Raw genomic sequence first — 17,583 nt, 5'->3', positions numbered from 1 at the left:
AACTACTCATCCAACAGGGGATTAACATCCAGAATATGCAAGGAACTCAATCATCTCAACAGGAAAAAAATAAACCATCAAATTGAAAAATGGGTGAAAAATTTGAATAGACATTTCTCAAAAGAAGACATACAATTGGCCAACAAATACATGGAAAATGCTCAACATCATTAATTATCAGGGAAATGCAAATCAAAACCACAATGAGATATCACCTTACCCCAGATGGGATATCTATTATCAAAAAGATAAAAAATAACAACTGCTGGTGGGGATACAGAGAAAAGGGAACTCCTATACATTGTTGGTGGGAATGTAAACTAGTACAGCCACCATGGAGAACAGTATGGAGGTTCCTTAAAAAACTACAAATAGAACTGCCACATGATCCAACAATCCCATTAAAGGAAAAAATAAAATAAAATCCAAATAAAAGAAAATCATGATATTGAATATGTACAATTATTATTTGTCAATCTAAAAAATTTAAAAACAAAACAACAATAACAAAAGAAGTCTTCTTAAATCAGAATATACAGATATATGATATTGGTCGCAACAGCTACAGAATTCTCCATAGTATGAGTGTGCAAGATTTATTTAAAATCTCCCCTGTTGCTGGACATTCAGGTTGTTTTTTGTTTTTGTCTATTACCAACATTGCTACAATGAACATTTTGGTTAATTTATTTATAAAACAACTATTTATTGAGCAATCGCTATGTGCCAGGCACAGTTTTAGAACCCTAGAATATAGTATGACATATATTGACATATATTCTTTTGTGAGGATATCAATAAACAGAAGGAGAATTGCTGCATTTGAGGAAATGTGCATTTCTGGTTTTGATAAATATTTCCAAAATGCTTGCTGAAAGGGCTGCAGAAATCTATACTTTCTTCAAGAGTATATGCAAATGGTTAATTTCTCCATTGCCAACACTGGGTATCATCAAACTTTAAAACTTTTGCCAATCTGATACGCAAAAAAAAATGGCTTCTTGTTACTATTTTGACTTGCATAATTATGAGTGAAATTAAGCATCTTTTCTTGCTTATTGGCCACTTGTATTTCTTTCTCGGTGAACTGCATGTTCCTGACAGCTGGGCGGTTTTCTATTGAACTCTTGTCTTCCTACAGATTTGTACTTGTTCCCCATAAATTAAGGAAACCAGTCAGTCCTTTGTCATATGTATTGCAAACCTCTTTTCCAGGTAATCTTTTGTCTTTTGACTTTGTTTGTGGTAATTTTTGCAATGCTTCTTGGTAGAGATAACGTTCAAGTTGAGTCTTGAAGGGTGAGTGATGATACTAATTATTAACTCTTGTCTAATCCTTCTAAGTGCTAAGTGTGCTTCTAAGTGCTTTAATATGTGATAACTCATTTAATTTTTACAACAACCCTAGGAGGTAAAACTGTTGTCATCCCCACTTTAAGAGGAGGAAACAGAGGCATAGAGGCAGTTAAGTAACTTTTCCAGGACCTCATAGCTGGTGAGGGGCAGAGACAAAAATCAAAACCCTGAGGAGCTATTTGCAAGGTAGTCTGGGAACAGTAGCAAAGGCACAGAGGTGAAAACAATACAAAATATCAGAGGAATTACAAGGAATTCCCGTGCATTTGGCATAAAGATAGGCTGCTTAATAGGGAAGGAAGGGAGACAAAGTATCGAGGCATCGGGGCAGGTTGTGTCTTGGTAAGAGGAGTCTTGTCTCCTGAGTTGGGGCATAGTTTCCTTGAGCTCAGGGTCCACATCCAGACCCCATATTACATAGCATCCTGCAGAACATATCCCAGCAGATGGGAGAAAATTGAAATATCTGTTATTGTGTGTGATACAAGGCATTTTATAGGGCTTAGCTCATGACTCAATAATATTTTCTGGGTTCCCTGACTTGATTCATGGATCCCCAAACATGGAGTGGTCAGACCTTCTATACACAGCTCATACTCTATTCTGGACAAAATGGAGTCTCTGCTTTATGTATCACTGGCAGCAAATGTTTCCTTCAGCTGCTGTCTTCAGTCCCACCATCACAAAGCACATGTCAAGGCTGTCTTCCCCGCTCTCAGTGTGAACTCTGAGAGGATAACATAACCCCAAGTAAACATAGTTATTGAGATAACTCTGCCACTCTAGGTCATGTGATGCTTCCAAAAACAGATATAAATAATTTTGGATTATCTGTTCCCCTACACTTAATATATTGGTGTCCTTCCTACACAAAGGTGATACTAAGCCCTGAGTCATGGGCAAAGGATTCTGGAATGACCAAATGTGCATTCAGTTTCTTTCTTTCTTCTTTTTAAATGTTGAAACAGGAATCACTCAGGCTGCATCTTCTCTCCCTTCTACTCTCCCTGAGATGAGAGAAGAACGATCACCAATGGCAAATGCAGTTGTAGCGAAGTAAAACCAAGAGCTGGCCTCACGCGCCACAGAGAATGCTGCGTCTCCTCCTCATGGTTTCTGGGGCTCCTCACGCTGAGAAACTTCTGTAGCCACAAATCATATAAATGATCCCTGAAAGTATAGTCTTTCCATTTCTTACTAATGAAGTCATGCTCTGCTCACCTCCAACTTGACAGTGTTTGGTAGCTTTGTCATAGGCTTCTCATTGCTGAGGCAGGAACCATAGGAATATTGGCCTCAGAAACAGTAAGGTGAGGGACAAAGAGTCTAAGATAAGGAACCTAATATTGCATCATTGCCTAGTGGCAGGGATGGCAGAACGCTGTCATTCCCCACCCTGTGCCGGTGGCAGACATTGCTAATCAATCATGCACTCTTATCTACTGAACCTGAGGAGCCTCAGACTCCTCAAAATGGTGGCCCTGAGTCACATCCCAGTTAACTGCACTTGGCTGTTGAAACGAAATGTATTTGTTATCCTCAACCTAATTATTAAAAAGCTGTAGTTTTGGAGTCACACAAATCTGAGCTTAAATTTCGCCTGTGTCATCTGAGCAACTTAGCCTCTTTAAGCTTCTGCTCCCACCATCATCACATCCCTCAGAGTGTGTGGGAAGGGCAAATGGGGCAGTGTGTCTTAAGTTTCTTGAAAACAATGCAAAACCCAGTTCCAGTGTCAAATCCGAGGAGTTATTTAGAATCTCTGGACTGCTCCCAGTTTCCTTCCAGGAAAAATTAGGGTTGTGAAAGTTGTCAAAATCAAAATGGAGTCACTAATGTTAAAAAAAGAAAGAAAGAACCCTGACAAATGGAGCTGGGAAAGGCCATGAAGAGAGAGTTCTCATACGTGTAAGCCTGATAACAAAAACTGTCACACAAGACTCTGTAAAAACCATGACCTCGCACAAAGGCCGTTGCAGCCTTACACAAAAAAGACTTCTGCAAAGACATCTGCCCAGCCACTGCCTATCCAAGCCTAGACTGGCATCACCCTTGTTATTGATCTTTGGAGCCAAGGATAATTATGTCAAAACAAATATGTAATCCTTCTCTTTCTTTCTTTAAAAATCTGTCTTCCTTTACCTCCCTGAACATGTACATAGTTTACTATGATATGCATATTCCCAATACAATGCTCTATTCCCAGGTAAATATCTTTTTCTTTTAAAGAGACTCTCCTTGTTTGCTATTTATGTTAACAGAGAAAAAGATTAGACTGTCTCTGAAGTCTGTCTCTTCCAGCTCATTTGACAGGACTGGGCTGCTTCCCTCTCATGCAATTCATTCAATGACTTTGCCTAAGTGCCACTTCAGCTTGGACAGGCACTGTTCTAGGCTCTGGGGCAGGAGCCCCACCTTCCAGGAGCATATATTCTAGTGGGAAGATAGACAATAAACAAATTGTCAAATCTGTTTTATGGCACATTGCATGTCGGGCAACATCAGCAGATGGAAGTACCGCAGAGAAAAATAAAAGTGGGTGGCTGAAGAGGGGAGCCTGGGCAGATTCCGGGGCTGCTGATTCTGCAGTGAGAAGGAACTAAGTGCCCTGCAGAGAGACTTGAGGCTGGAGGTTAGCTCTTTGTTCTAGCAAAACACTTGGGAGTTATGAGAAGATTGCGTTGACTGCCACCCCCGTTCCCACCCTCTCCTTCTGAAAGAAACTTGTGTGGCTGCATCCATACCACAGGCCTATGTGCAGCATTCCTCCCTGGCTGGGCCTAGGGGCCTCACAGTTCATTTCCTGTTCTTTGGGATGGGGTGAGGAGTGGTCTACCTGGCCTCCACCTATGCAGCCAGGGGCTTCCGCTCACTGTTGCTTGGTAGCTTCTGGGTTGGGGAGGAGCAGAGTTCTCTGGGTCCACTCCATTGCCCGTTTTATCCTGGCATCTCCAGCATGGGACTGCGATGGGTGGCATCTTCACCTGGGAATGGCTAGGGAAAGTCATGAGGGCCAGGTGTGATGAACAGGCAGCCCCTGGAGGCCCAAGCAGGAGGTGGCGAGAGTGGCAAATGGAAATGCCCAGGAGGAGAGGCGAGCAGTGGGCGTAGGTGAAGAGCTGGGTGTAGGTGCATACCTTCATTGTGCAGGGAGACAGAAGTGTGGCAGAGCTGACTGTTGGCGTGCAGGATTCCTGGAATTTGAAGGCAGCAGAGAAGTCTGTAGACAATCAGATGGAGCATCAGGACAAGAACACACTGGCATGGACTCCGAGAACACTGGCCTAGGTGTCAGCACACCCTGAGTTGACATCCAGGCCGCCTACAATGGCAAGAAATGTCTCATCACTGTAATGTTACTATTCATGCAGGGCCTGCCTGGGTGATGACCAGGATGAAGATGCTCAGACCATCATCTTCCTCCAGGATGAGTGCCACACAAGCACGCCATGAGGCACCTTAGGGACATGGTTGGCATCGACACCATTACAGGGATGTCCAGATTGGAGACATAATGACAGGTGGTAAGGGCCAGCTCCTGAGCAAGAAAGACCATCTGTTGCTTCTACATGCTGAGGGGTCAAGGCTGCTGGCACCGAGAAGCACTTTCAGAAATTCAAGCCCCGAGAGACCTCCATTCCCTTAATAATGTTTTCCTACCACATGGCTCAATTTAAAAATTTATAAATTTATAAAATACATCTGTAGACTGGGATGAACTGCTACTGAGCTGATATTTCTACAGAAATCAATCTGAAAGTGAGGCAGTGCTGGGCTTTAGACTCTAGCCTGGGCTGGCTTGGAGCAGAATTGGGAAGCAAGGTGTGGTGGGTTGAATATGTCTCCCCAAAATTCATGACCACCCAAAACCTCAAATGTGACCTATTTGGAAATAGGGTAGTTGCAGATGTCATCAGTTAAGATGAGATTATACTAGATTAGAGAGGGACCTAAATCCAATGGTGTCCTTACAAGAAAAGGAGAGGACACATGGGGAAACACCCTGGGAAGAAGGCCGCGTGACAATGAAGGCAGAGATTGGAGTGATGCAGCTGCAAGCTCAGAAACGGGAAGGATTATTGGAGCCACCAGAAGCTAGTGAGAGGCAAGGAGCATTCTTCCCTGGAGGCTTCAGAGGGAGCACAGTCCTTCATTTTGAGTTTCTAGCCTCCAGAATGTGAGGGGATACATTGCTGTTGTTTCCAGCCTCCCAGTTTGTGGTAATTCATTACTGCATCTCTAGGAACCTAATACACACACAAAAAGATTTGTTTTAAATCTAGCTCTTCAGCTGGGCACAGTGACTCATGTTTGTAATCCCAGCACTTTGGGAGGCTGAGGTGGGCAGATCACTTGAGGTCAGAAGTTCAAGACCAGCCTGGCCAACATGGTGAAATCCATCTCTACTAAAAATAATTTTTTGAAAATTAGCCGAGTGTGGTGCTGCGCACCTGTAATCCCAGCTACTTGGGAGGCTGAGGCAGGAGAATCCCTTGAACCTGGGAGGCGGAGGCTGCAGTGAGCCAAGATTGTGTCACTGCACTCCAGCCTTGGCAACACAGGAAGACTGTCAAAAAAAAAACAAAAAACAAAAAAAAACAAACAAAAAACTGCCTCTTCTCTATGAAAGAAGGAAAGAAAGAAAAGAACAAAAAGAAAGAAAGAAAAGAAGAAGAAAAAGAAAGAAAGAAAAGAAAGAAAAAGAAAGAAGAAAGAAAAAAGAAAGAAAGATAAAGAAAGAAAGCATCAACCCTATTTATAGTTATTTCTGGGTTTTTTTTTTCTATATTCCTCCTGCTGGGTAGCCTTGTCATGTGGAGGGTAAGAGCCACACAGCCTGGATTTGACTCCTACCTCTGCAACTCACCAACTCTGGGGGCTGGCTAAATCTCTCTGAGCCTTTGTGTCCTCATCTCTATGGGGCCTATTGAAGAGTAAGTGAGAGAGCATGAGAAAGCTCAGGTATAGGCCTGGGCTGATGTGGGTCCTCAGTGAGTGCTGGCTGCCTTTCCTCCGTGGTGAATGCCACACAAGCACACTATGAGGCACACCTGGGCCCCCTCTAGCCAGCCCGAGCATCATGCCAATCACTAGGCATTCCTGAGTGCTGTCTTCTTCAGACAGTATCCTCTGTGTCAGCAAGATGTTTTTGTCCCGCTAACAGCCCACCCATATCTAGTACTTTAGTGTGATGTTCCAAGCCAGCAACATTTTCATCTATCAAGAATTAAGAGCCTGCAAGAAGAGATGGGATGGAGAGCAGGATGATCAAGCTATAGAGAGTCAGGCTGTGCTGCCGTGTTGCACAATTCAAGAAGGTCACCGTTTATCATGCAAACCATACAAATAGTTTCCCCTAGAGTTGGGTATTATGGTGACCCTGAGGTGGGCTTAAAAGTATGGAGGAGTGAGGAGATGGGAGAAGAAAGGAATCTCCTCCTCTTCCTCCTCCTCCTTCTTCTTCTTATTGTTGTTCTTCTTCTTCTTGTTCTTCTTCTCCTTCTCCTCCGCCTCCTCCTCCTCCTCCTCATTCTCATTCTCCTTCTTCAGAGACAGGCTGTCACTCTGTCGCCCAGCCAGGAGTGCAGTGGCACAATCTTGGCTCACTGCAGCCTTGATCTCCTGTGCGCAAGCGTTTCTTCAACTTCAACCTCCCAAGTAGCTAGGACCACAGGTGCATGCCACCACACCTGGCTAATTTTTGTATTTTTTATGGGGACAGAGTTTCATCATGTTGCCCAGGCTGGTCTCAAACTTTTAGGCTCAAGTGATGTACCTGCCTCAGCCTCCCAAAGTACTGGGATTACAGGCAGGAGCCACTGCACGTGGCCCTTTCTCTTTTTTTGGATAACATAATTACACACATTGTTATGTCTGGAGAAAGGTATGTGTATTGCAGATTAGGGAATTTGGAGAGGAAAAATGCTCAGATACTGAATCCATTTATATGAAAAAAATTTGCAAGGGAAGAGGTGGGGAAATAACCCACTGAATCCTAATACTAGAGAGAGAGAGGGAGAGAGGGAGAGAGTGACTGGGGAGTGGCGGGGGGGGAGAGAGAGAGAGAGGACAAAGTTATGTTTCCCTCTTATGAAATCTCAGTGCAGTCACCCCAGGGCTGGCTGACAACAGGCCTAGGCCAACAAAGGCAGATTACACAGTGCCTCCCCGTAGCAGGCCGGCTGCCGGCAGCTGTCACTAATCCTTCAGGGGGCTGGCTGCAGGCACCTGCCAGGAAGAGCTTTAAAACCTGACAGAAGGGATGGCAGGGAAGCCCAAAAAATGCCATCAAAATGCTAAAACCACAAATAACCAAAGTGAGGAAGGCAAAGAGAAGGCTCTAGATCCTCATGTGAACTGGTGACGATCCCGAGGGAGTCCTGCATAGCTGGAGAGGGGTGCACCTGCCAGCAGTCATCAGAAGAGGCCAAAGGAGAACAAAATGTGTGAGAGCTAAAAGAAACCCTTCATCTCATGGAGGTGGGGAGTAGAGTGGTGGTTACTAGAGGTTGTGGGTGGGGAGAAGAGAGGTCGGTTATTGGGTACAAAAGTACAGTTAGATCAGACTAATAAGTTCTGTAGGCCAAGCACGGTGGCTCACACCTGTAATCCCAGGACTTTGGGAGACCAAGGCAGGAGGACTGCTTGAGCCCTGGAGTTTGAGATCAGCCTGGCAACATGGTGAAACCCCTGTTTCTACAAAAAATACAAAAATCAGCTGGGCATGGTGGTGTGTGCCTGTAGTCCCAGTTACTTGGGAGGGTGAGGTGGGAGGATCACCTGAGCCTGGGAGGTAGAGGTTGCAGTGAGCTGAGACTGCACCACTGCACTCCAGCCTGGGTAACAGAGTGGGACTCTGCTCAAAAAAAGAAAAAAAAAGTTCTAGCTTTGACAGTATAGTAGGGCAACTATAATTAACAAGAATTTACAGTAGATTTCAAAATAGCTAGAAGAGAGGACTTGAAATGTTCCCAACACAAAGAAGTGATTTATGTTTGAGGTGATAGATATCCTAATGACCCTGAATTAATCATTACACATTGTATTCATGTATGAAAATATCACATGTATCCCATAAATATGTACAGATATTGTGTATCAATTTAAAAATACATAAACACTGCAGGAGGTTTGGACGCAGTAACCAGAAAAGGAGGGAAAGTAGTGTTAACTGAGAAAAATAAGCACTAAATAGTTCAATTGGGGTTTATAGTTTATATTTACTGAGCATTTATTACCTGCCAGGAACCATTCTAAGTAACTTAGGTTTATTATCTGATTTAATTTCAACATCAGCTATGTAAGGTATGGGAGGTTATTATCTCCATTTTACAGATAAGATAATTAAGGCATTGGTGATTTAAATAACTGGCCCAGGGCCTTTCAGCTAATAAATGGCAGAGCCAATGCTCAATAAATACTAGATAATTTAATGAATAAAAGAATAACAAACCAACCTCTTCCCCCTAAAATATTTTAACAGAGTAATACATCTTTGGACATGTTTTATAGGAAATATGTCACAGTATTTGACAAAATCTCTCATAAATTGTTGTAGAATTGGAGAACTGAGGGTGGAGTGATAGTACAGTTTGGTGGGATTTGTTAACTAAGAAGGCTCAGTCCAGAATGTCTCCAGTGGCATTTTCTATTCCTGTTCCTGTTTTGTCCATTTTTTTTTAAGTCTCTGACTTGATAAATACATGCCTGTCAAATTTGAAGATGCTCTACCCTGGGAGAGATAACTGGGGTATAGAACGATATAATAAAAATTCCCAGTAATTGGGCAATAAACTAAAATGAACAGCGTGAAATTTAACAAGGATAAAGGTAAAGTCCTGCCCCAGAGGCTCAAAAAGTTAACTATTCTGTTATAACCTGGGAGAGACTCAACAGACATGGATGAAGAAGACCTTAGCATGGAAGATGGCTCCAACCTCAATCTGAGTTGTCAGTGGAATGTGACTCCTTAAGTACCAAATGCAGTCTGAGTTGTGCTGACAGTTTTATACACCCACAGTGAAGACATCCCATAATATTTTACACTGGTTAGATCACTTTTGTTTTTTGCGATGGAGTCTTGCTCTGTCACCCAGGCTGGAGTGCAGTGGTGCGATCTCGGCTCACAGCAACCTCTGCCTCCTGGGTTCAAGTAATTCTCCTGGCTCAGCCTCCCAAGTAACTGGGATTACAGATGCATGCCTCCATGCTCAGCTAATTTTTTTTGTATTTTAATAGAGATGGGATTTCACCATGTTGCCCAGGCTGGTCTTGAACTCCTGAGCTCAGGCAATCCACCCGCCTTGGCCTCCCAAAGTGCTAGGATTACAGGCGTGAGGCACCTGCCTGGCCCAGAGTGGGTTTTAAGCACATTTTAAGAGGCATACTTCTGCATGCCCAGAGAAGGGCATCTGGTGAAATCTCTGTAAACCACTTTACATTCAGAATGTAAGAAGGTATATGGATGCTTACCTTAGAAGACTGAAGCCCTAGGAGATATGTTGTAGCTGTCTGAAATTATTTGAAGAGTTATCCAAATAACTCCAAAAGGCCAAAGTATAAGATCAATGGGTAAAAATTACAGAATGGCAGACCTTCACAATGCAGAGGTATACCATGAGGATTTTTGTCCTCAAAATACCCAAGTTACTTAATTTCTCCTGCTCTTAGTTTCCTCTTCTGTAAAGCAGGGCTAATAACAGTAACTCTTTTCACAGGAATATTGTAAAATGAAGTTGAAATAAGACATGTAAAGTGTACAGCCCAGTGTCTAACATGTAGGAGTCAATTTTAGATGGTTAGTATTTACTTTACTTTATAATAACTTTAAAAACACATAGAGATGCCTAATAATGGAAGAGATTGCTTTTGAAGGCAGTGAGCAAACATCCTGCCACCGAGCATTTCTAAGTGTTTGCAGAGGAGCTGTGGAAGGGACTCAACCACTAGGTGGGGGATTGGAGTCAGTGGTCCTCAGGGTCTCAGCCATTGAATGATTCCATGATTCTATATATCTACTGACCACTGTCAAAGGTGAAAAAGTCTCAGTGTTCTCCTAATCACAGCTGAGGATTCAAAAGCCAATTGAACCACAGGTTCACCCAAAGCGTGACTTGTTCCCAAGCATTGTCACACCAGTCCCAGGTAAGGACCTTATAGGTAGACATCTTTTGTCTTTGCCTACAGTCTCCCTTCTTCCACATTCATTTTACTAAGTAATTCACTCTTAATATCAGTTCATACAATTAGGGGGAAGCTGATTCCATCTCCCAGACCCAGAGGTTGGCCAAATGCCCAGGCTTGGCCAGTGCATCCCCTTCTCCTGGCCATGAAGATTTGTTCAGAGATATACATGTGACCCACTCAGTCCAATAAAAGCTTCAGGATGGTGCTGAGGCCACTGGGAGAGATGTTTTCTTTTTCCCAAGGTTGTTAATCTTAAGCCTGGAGCACTTGGTGGCATTATTTGAGAAAGAACCTAATAGAGGAAAAAAATAATTTGAGAGATGGAAAGAAACAAATTCCTAATAAGATTATTTTAACAGCTAGATCTAGGTACTCCTGAAGTATTCCTGAAGTTACCTAAGCCAGTAAATTCATCTTTTCCTTTAAGTCAGTTTGAGTTAGGTATGTCTCTTGTGACCCAAACACTAACGGCCAATCCTCCATCCTCCTGTCTTCAGGAGAATAATAGCTACAGGAGGCTGGGGGAAAGTTACAAATTACTTTGGGAAATTCCATTTGAAACAAGAGCCCGCATATGACTGCAATGACATGGGAGACCCCAAGTGAGAACCACTCAGCTGAGTCCAGTCAACCCACAGAAGGATGAGAGATAATGTTGCTTTATTGTAGAGCTACAGTAGGTAAGTGAAACACACATTCAATAATGGAATCTCTGAGAAAATCCTAGCACATACAGTAAAAGCATAGAGCGCATGGTTAAACCTCCATTTCTTTTCTGAGCTGCTTGGTGGCTCTCACTGATGTATGATGAGTCTATAGATGCAACATGTCACTAACTCATGAACGACAAAGTCCCTCTAGGGTGAACAACCAAGTTATAGAGAATAAGAGGCCTTTTAAGCCCTTTTGTCCACCTTTCTTCATATCAGTGGTTAAGATGACAGTCCTTTGTAAATTCTAAAGAATTTTCTTTATTCTTCCTCATCCAATCCACCTCTCTCTTATTCACCCAATCTGTATTCATACCCAGTTAATCTTGTTTTTGGTCATAAAGGGACTCTGTTACAATGTCAGGTAAATCCTTTTCACCTTCCTTCAAGGGAGGAATTAAGTCAGGGAAACTGTTTTGCTCCTTGGAGTAGTTGTTCTTTAAAATGAAGTTATTGATTAGGCAATGTCTATAAAATTAAGATGTATGTACTTAAGAATCCCAATGGTAAGACTTTATTCTACGGACATTCACAAGAGTTTGCTAATATATTTGTACAAGGATGCTAATTGGAGTGTTCTTATAATTGAGGAAGGAGGAAATGAATTGTCTACCCACAGGGGACTGGTTGAAGAAATGATGGTACATCCAAATGATAGAATCTATGAAACCAGATGTTTAAAAGAAAATGAGATAGATCCGTATGTATTGATCTGAAAAGAGCTCCAGGATATACTATGATGTGGAAACAGCACTCCTACCACACTGTGCGGCTCTGGTGGGCACCATTCACACTGTGTGCTATGGGAATATTGCCCCTGTTCAAGACACCCTAAAGTACAATGTGGTTGGTGTTCCATGAAGTTGTGCAAACCTGAGGCGGTTTTGGTACACTAAAGATGTTTAAGGACAAATGGAAATGTAGGGGTATACATACATTGTTTTCCCATGGGAAAGAAAGAAAAAGCACGTAAAAATGTGCGTTTAAGAGAGGGATAAGTCAGGGGATGGGAGCTTTCACTTTTTATTTTGTACATATATATTATCTAATCAAGTACTTCTACAATTATCTGAGGTTGGGGGAGAGGAGATTATGGGCCATTTTTTTTGTTTTATTCTTTGTATATCTTTTATTTGCAAATATTAATGTGTAGCTCTTTTTAAAGAATCCACTAAGCTTTTCCAAACACCAAACATAATTTTTGAAGATCATTCAAGTCAAGTTATCCACTTTTCTCAGGGAAAGCATATTTCTCATGTTGCAACCTTCCCTGTTATGATATACTTGTTTCTACTTGTGGCCCTGAAATTCTTGGGTAGGCACATATTTTCTGTCCCTGGTGCTGTTAGAAGAATGTGGGATTGGGGTGGCAGGTGGCTGCTGCTCCTCGCCTCCCCTTGGTCAGTCCCTGCCAGGTGGCCCACGCCATCAGACTCCTTGGTGCTGCTTCCTGCATGCCAACTCTCAGAGCTTGTTTAGAAGAGAGAGATGAGTCAGCAGATTTGCCTGATGCAAGACTGGCCTGGTGCCAGCATGATGCCCTGACTGGTTTCAGCCACCCAACTTCAGCAATAACTGGGAAGAGAGGGTCAGAGCCACCTCTTGGGTTCTGGAAATGAGCTCATCTTCTTTGGCTGCCCTGAGGAGACAGACAGCCTGGCCAAGGCTGAGGAGGAGGGTTTGAAGACTCTGAACCGAGTGCCTCCAAGCCAGCACAATGAGTGGTGGGGACGGCACTGGGAAGTATGAGGAACGCCAACACCACAATAATTGCAGGCGGGAGCGCCAGTTGACAATAACTTCTTCCTCCCCCATATTTCTCAGGAACACCCTCTGTTCCATTTCCTCTGTCTCTTCTTGGCTGAGGACCACAACTATCAAAAGCCAAAGACAGGAAGAACCAAACAATAATTCAGGTACATTGATAAAGTTGGGGACTTCCTCACTGCCAGCCCTGAATCACCGTCTCTTTTCAGCGTTTTCTCCTATTGGTCAGTTGGACTGAAGGAGCCCGAACTCTGAACCTGGTACACATACTCATGCCCCATCACCTCTTCTGACAGGTGCTGTCTCCATTCCAGGCTCTTCATGAATCAACCACTCTTCATTCGCTGGGCGGGGGCCAGGTGCTCTGTTTGACTGGGTGCTCCTGCTGACTGAGGAAAGCACCACCTTATCTCGATTTTCATGGTACGGTCTTCACAGCAGCCTAAGGGTCCCCTGATCTTTTGTTGCTTTCCATGGTTTTACCTGCCTTGTACTTGAGTCGCTCCTTTTCCGAGGCAAAGGTCTATCCCCATTGTCCTTCAAGGCAAAAGCCCCAAAGACATCAAACATTAGGAGTCCTCTTGCCTTCCATGCAACAACAGTACAATTCAACAGATGGTTTTATGCCAACAGTAGCTCCTGCCTGGGGACTCTGCTTTGGAAGAGAACAGTCTCCCCTGTCAGGAGACTGCAAATGCAGCTACCACTGGGTATATAAGGGGAAGACAAGTTTACTGACTGTCATGCTTGACATTGTAAGAATTTTGATCACCTATATTCCTCCTAACAATTCTGAGTGGCAAACATTTTTCCCTCTTTTTTCATAGAAGGGGAAACTGAAGTGTGGAGGGATTCAGTCATTTGCCAGGGGAAATCAGCTTAGATAGAGTCCCAGTCTGTCTCCTGCAAATCTCTGATGGCCTCCTTCTGGGTCAATGAGTTGACCCCACATGCTAAAGAAGTACAGTAAACAACTCTTTTGCTAGTGAACTTGCAGATTGTGTGTTCAGATAGACCCAACTTGCTACCCGCACAAATGCAAAGTGAATGTGACCCAGCCTATGGTTCACTCACAATGGGGCTTGGTGCCAACCTGGCCAAGAGATGGCAAGTCGCTACCTGTGGCAAATACCGTCCCTGCCTTAATCTTAATTCCATGAAACTCTCTCATGTAAGATTGAAGGAAAAACAAAGGAAGCTGCGAAATCCTCCCAAGCTCCAAAATTCAGGGCCTTTAAGCCAGTGGCCCAGTTAACATGTTCCTTCTTGTGATGGCAACCCCAATTGATATAAGCCATTGTCCTTCCAGGCTACGTAGGCCTGGCCTCAGAGCCTTTCCCTACTCATAATAATATGGCTGAAAGACTGCTTAGGGACTGCTGGCCCCGGGAGACACCTTCCTTTGGGTGACGATAGCAGCAGCTGTTCCATTTAGAAAAGCACTGTGCAGGCCTGGCTTTTGGCCCCATGGTTGTTATCATGAGGCTAGAAGGGAGCCTCTTGGGCCCCAGCTCTGGCCAAACCATTATAAAAGTCAAATTTCAAACAGAGTCAGCTCTCAATTATTCAGACTAATGGTTCAGTTTGTAGATGTTCTTCCCCTTCTTCACTCTGTCTCTAGCCTTCTCTTTGCCAGCTGCCTTTAGGCTCTCATCATTAATACACCCACCAGAGGAGGATTAGGCAGAGGACATAAGATCAATCAATGTTAGAGCCTGTGGGTGATTACAGTAAAGGATTTGTTTAAGAAGCAGGTGGAGTGTGGATTTTACGTATTCTTGCTAATCCCATTCCCACCTATTATGGACAATAGAAAACTGCCTTGAGTTCTTTGAGCCCCTCTGATTTGCTGTCTTGCCAGGAGAAAACAATAGAAAGACCAAAATCTACATGCCCAGAGCCAGGGGGTCCCAGGCTGAGACTAACTGGGCTGAGAAGGCAGCCACACCTGGCACCAGACCATCCTGCAGGCCCAGGGTGCAGTGCCTATCTACCCGGAAGCTTTAGGGTGTCCAAGGGCGAGAATACAGTCATGGGTTCTTAGTTTCTGTTTCTGGTTGGACCAGTAAAGCTCCTTCCTCATCCTTCTTATCTGCTTATTACTAGAGACAGAAACTAAAAACCATGGCTTCAGGCTGCTAAAAGCCTAAAACAAAACAAAACAAAACAGAACAACAAAAACAACAAAATAAGGCCAGTTGGACAAAGTTGTCTCTTACGGTGGACAGCAGACATTGGGTTTGCGATAAATAAAACACTCAGGGCTTTTCTCCCTTGAATGGTTGAAATTGTGTGTTTCCAGACCAAATAAATTAAGAAATAAAACATGAAAACTAATTCTAAAAGCATAATTCACAACTGTAGCAGTAGGCCCGTCTTTCTCAGCAAAAAAGACTTGCAAGGTTTAGGATGGGTTGCACGCCCAACATAAAGAGCAAAAAAGGAGACTATGACTTTCCTTTATTTTATTAATAATAATAAAAGCTCATATATTTATACCTAAGCGCCAGATGCTAGGCTTACTGAGATATATGAACTGTCTTATTTAATCTTTACAACAACCTTGGGAGGTAAAAACAGCAAATGAGACTTAGAGAAATTCAGTGACTTGCTCCAGGTAGCAGGTTGGAGTAGGTTGTCCCATCCAGTTGGTCGACCCCACGGCCCTTTGATCTACCACATTGTTCCACCTTTTCTACAGTGTGATCCAAGCTACATGTTTTAGCCTCTTCTCTTGACCAAAACTAGAATAAGCACGATTACTACCATCATCACCACAAAAACCCCAGTAGCATAGTTGTGAATTCCCACTCCCCCCACTTTCTGTTCCCTCCATATGGCCTCTCTCATGTTTTTTTTTTTTAAATACTCACCATTCTCATTTATTTTTATTTAATTAATTAATTTTAGTTATTTAGAGACAGAGTCTTGCTGTTGCCTGGGTTGGAGTGCAGTGGCACCATCATAGCTTGCTGCAGCCTCAAACCACTGGGCTGAATGTCCTCCCACCTCAGCCTCCTGTGTAGCTGGGATGACAGGCACATACCACCACACCCAGCTAATTAAAAAAAATTTTTTTTGTAGAGACACGGTCTTGCTATGTTGCCAGGCTGGGCTGGAACTCCTGGGCTCAAGCAATCCCCACTCCCACCCTCAGCCTCCAGGCTCCCATATGGCCTCTTGATTTCCACATTTCTAGCCTGAGGTCTCCTGTATTCTGCTAGACAAGCCATTCCATTTAGCAGAGGACTGTGTGCATCGCACGCTTCTTGTATTTGTGCTTTCAGCATTGTTAGTTGTTCTTATATTGTTATTTCACTTTTTCTGTGTGTTTGTTTAATCTCCCCAGAGTGAATCCATGGGAGGGAACCTTGTCATGCGTCATGCATGTTTTAATTTGTCACTGTTTCTAGCTTGATGCCAGGTATACAGGAAGTCTATAATACCCATTTTCTGATTACTTGGTTAATTGGGAATAAAAACCACGTAGAACATACCTCTGTTGAGCTTGCCGTGTTGATTAACACAGCACTGGGCGTATATAGCAGATACTCAGAAAATGTTTGTTAAGTATTTGAGTATCTGACTACCTGGAAGAGGAATGAGTCCAACAGTTACCAGCAGGTATATGCACTTTATATATATTATCTACTTTAAATCTCATGATAATTCTGTGTGGTAAGTGTTTTCTTTCTTTTCTTATTGTTTATTTCTCCAAGAAAAAATGAGGTAGATATTATTTCTACTTTTCATATAGCTGTGGGAGAAAAAAGAAAAGAACATTTTTATCTGAGGAATATGAACCCCTTTATCAGGTCCAGAGAGGCACTGGAATGAAAGGGCTGTCAGGTCACTCCCCCTTGAGTGAAATAATTGTCGTGAAGCCACTTGCTATGCAAGTGCTAGACTAACTGAAGGCAAGTGGCCATAACATGCCATACATACTGTAGTTCACAAGGTATAGATAATCACGAACCAATGTTATTTCTGCAAACCAATGAGAATTCCTGATGAACAACAACATTTGTAATCTCCCCCTCCTGATTTGTCCTTTTTCTCTTTAAACACTGGAGCCTCTCTTTTGTTCTCCAGAGCACTCCCCAAGGCAACTCGAAAGTGTGTCCCGGGCTGGAGGCCTCAACCTTGGCCCAAATAAACCTTTTTTTTTGAGACGGAGTCTCGCTCTGTCGCCCAGGCTGAAGTGCAGTGGCACAATCATAGCTCACTACAGCCTCAAACTCCTGGGCTCAAACAATCCACTAACCTCAGCCTCCTGAGTAGCTGGACTACAGATGCGTGCCACCACACCCAGTTGATTTTTGTATTTTTAGTAAAGACAGGGTTTCACCATGTTGGCCAGGCTGGTCTCAAACTCCTGACCTCAAGTGATCCGCCCACACTCGACCTCCCAAAGCCTGGGATTACAGGCATGAGACACTATGCCTCGCCCCAAATAAACTCTCCATTAATTTTGCCTCAGGTTCTACCTTTAGGTCTATACAGCCCCACATCCTCCCCTGGTGATACTGAAGCTAGGATTCACATGCAGGGCTCTTGGCAGCAG

At 43.4% G+C, this 17,583-nt stretch overlaps 1 long non-coding RNA gene and 1 other non-coding gene across 2 annotated transcripts in view; one reads left to right on the top strand and one right to left on the bottom strand.

Annotated features, from left to right (window-relative positions):
- The window catches only part of LOC105378920 (uncharacterized), a 58,385-nt gene extending 55,171 nt beyond the window's left edge, over positions 1-3,214 (top strand). Inside the window, exon 5 of the long non-coding RNA XR_001738197.2 lies at positions 2,325-3,214. This is a non-coding gene — a long non-coding RNA (uncharacterized LOC105378920). The remainder of the gene's footprint in view (positions 1-2,324) is intronic.
- On the bottom strand, positions 2,327-2,542 carry LOC124904669 (small nucleolar RNA U3). The gene has a single exon (XR_007067183.1). It is a non-coding gene; the product is annotated as a small nucleolar RNA U3 (small nucleolar RNA).
- Positions 3,215-17,583: the final 14,369 nt, after the last annotated feature.

The sequence above is a fragment of the Homo sapiens genome, chromosome 1, assembly GCF_000001405.40.
Source record: "Homo sapiens chromosome 1, GRCh38.p14 Primary Assembly".
In the NCBI taxonomy this organism is placed as follows: domain Eukaryota; kingdom Metazoa; phylum Chordata; class Mammalia; order Primates; family Hominidae; genus Homo; species Homo sapiens.
The sequence above is the reverse complement of the archived record's forward strand: the minus strand, read 5'-3'. Positions and strand labels throughout refer to the sequence as shown.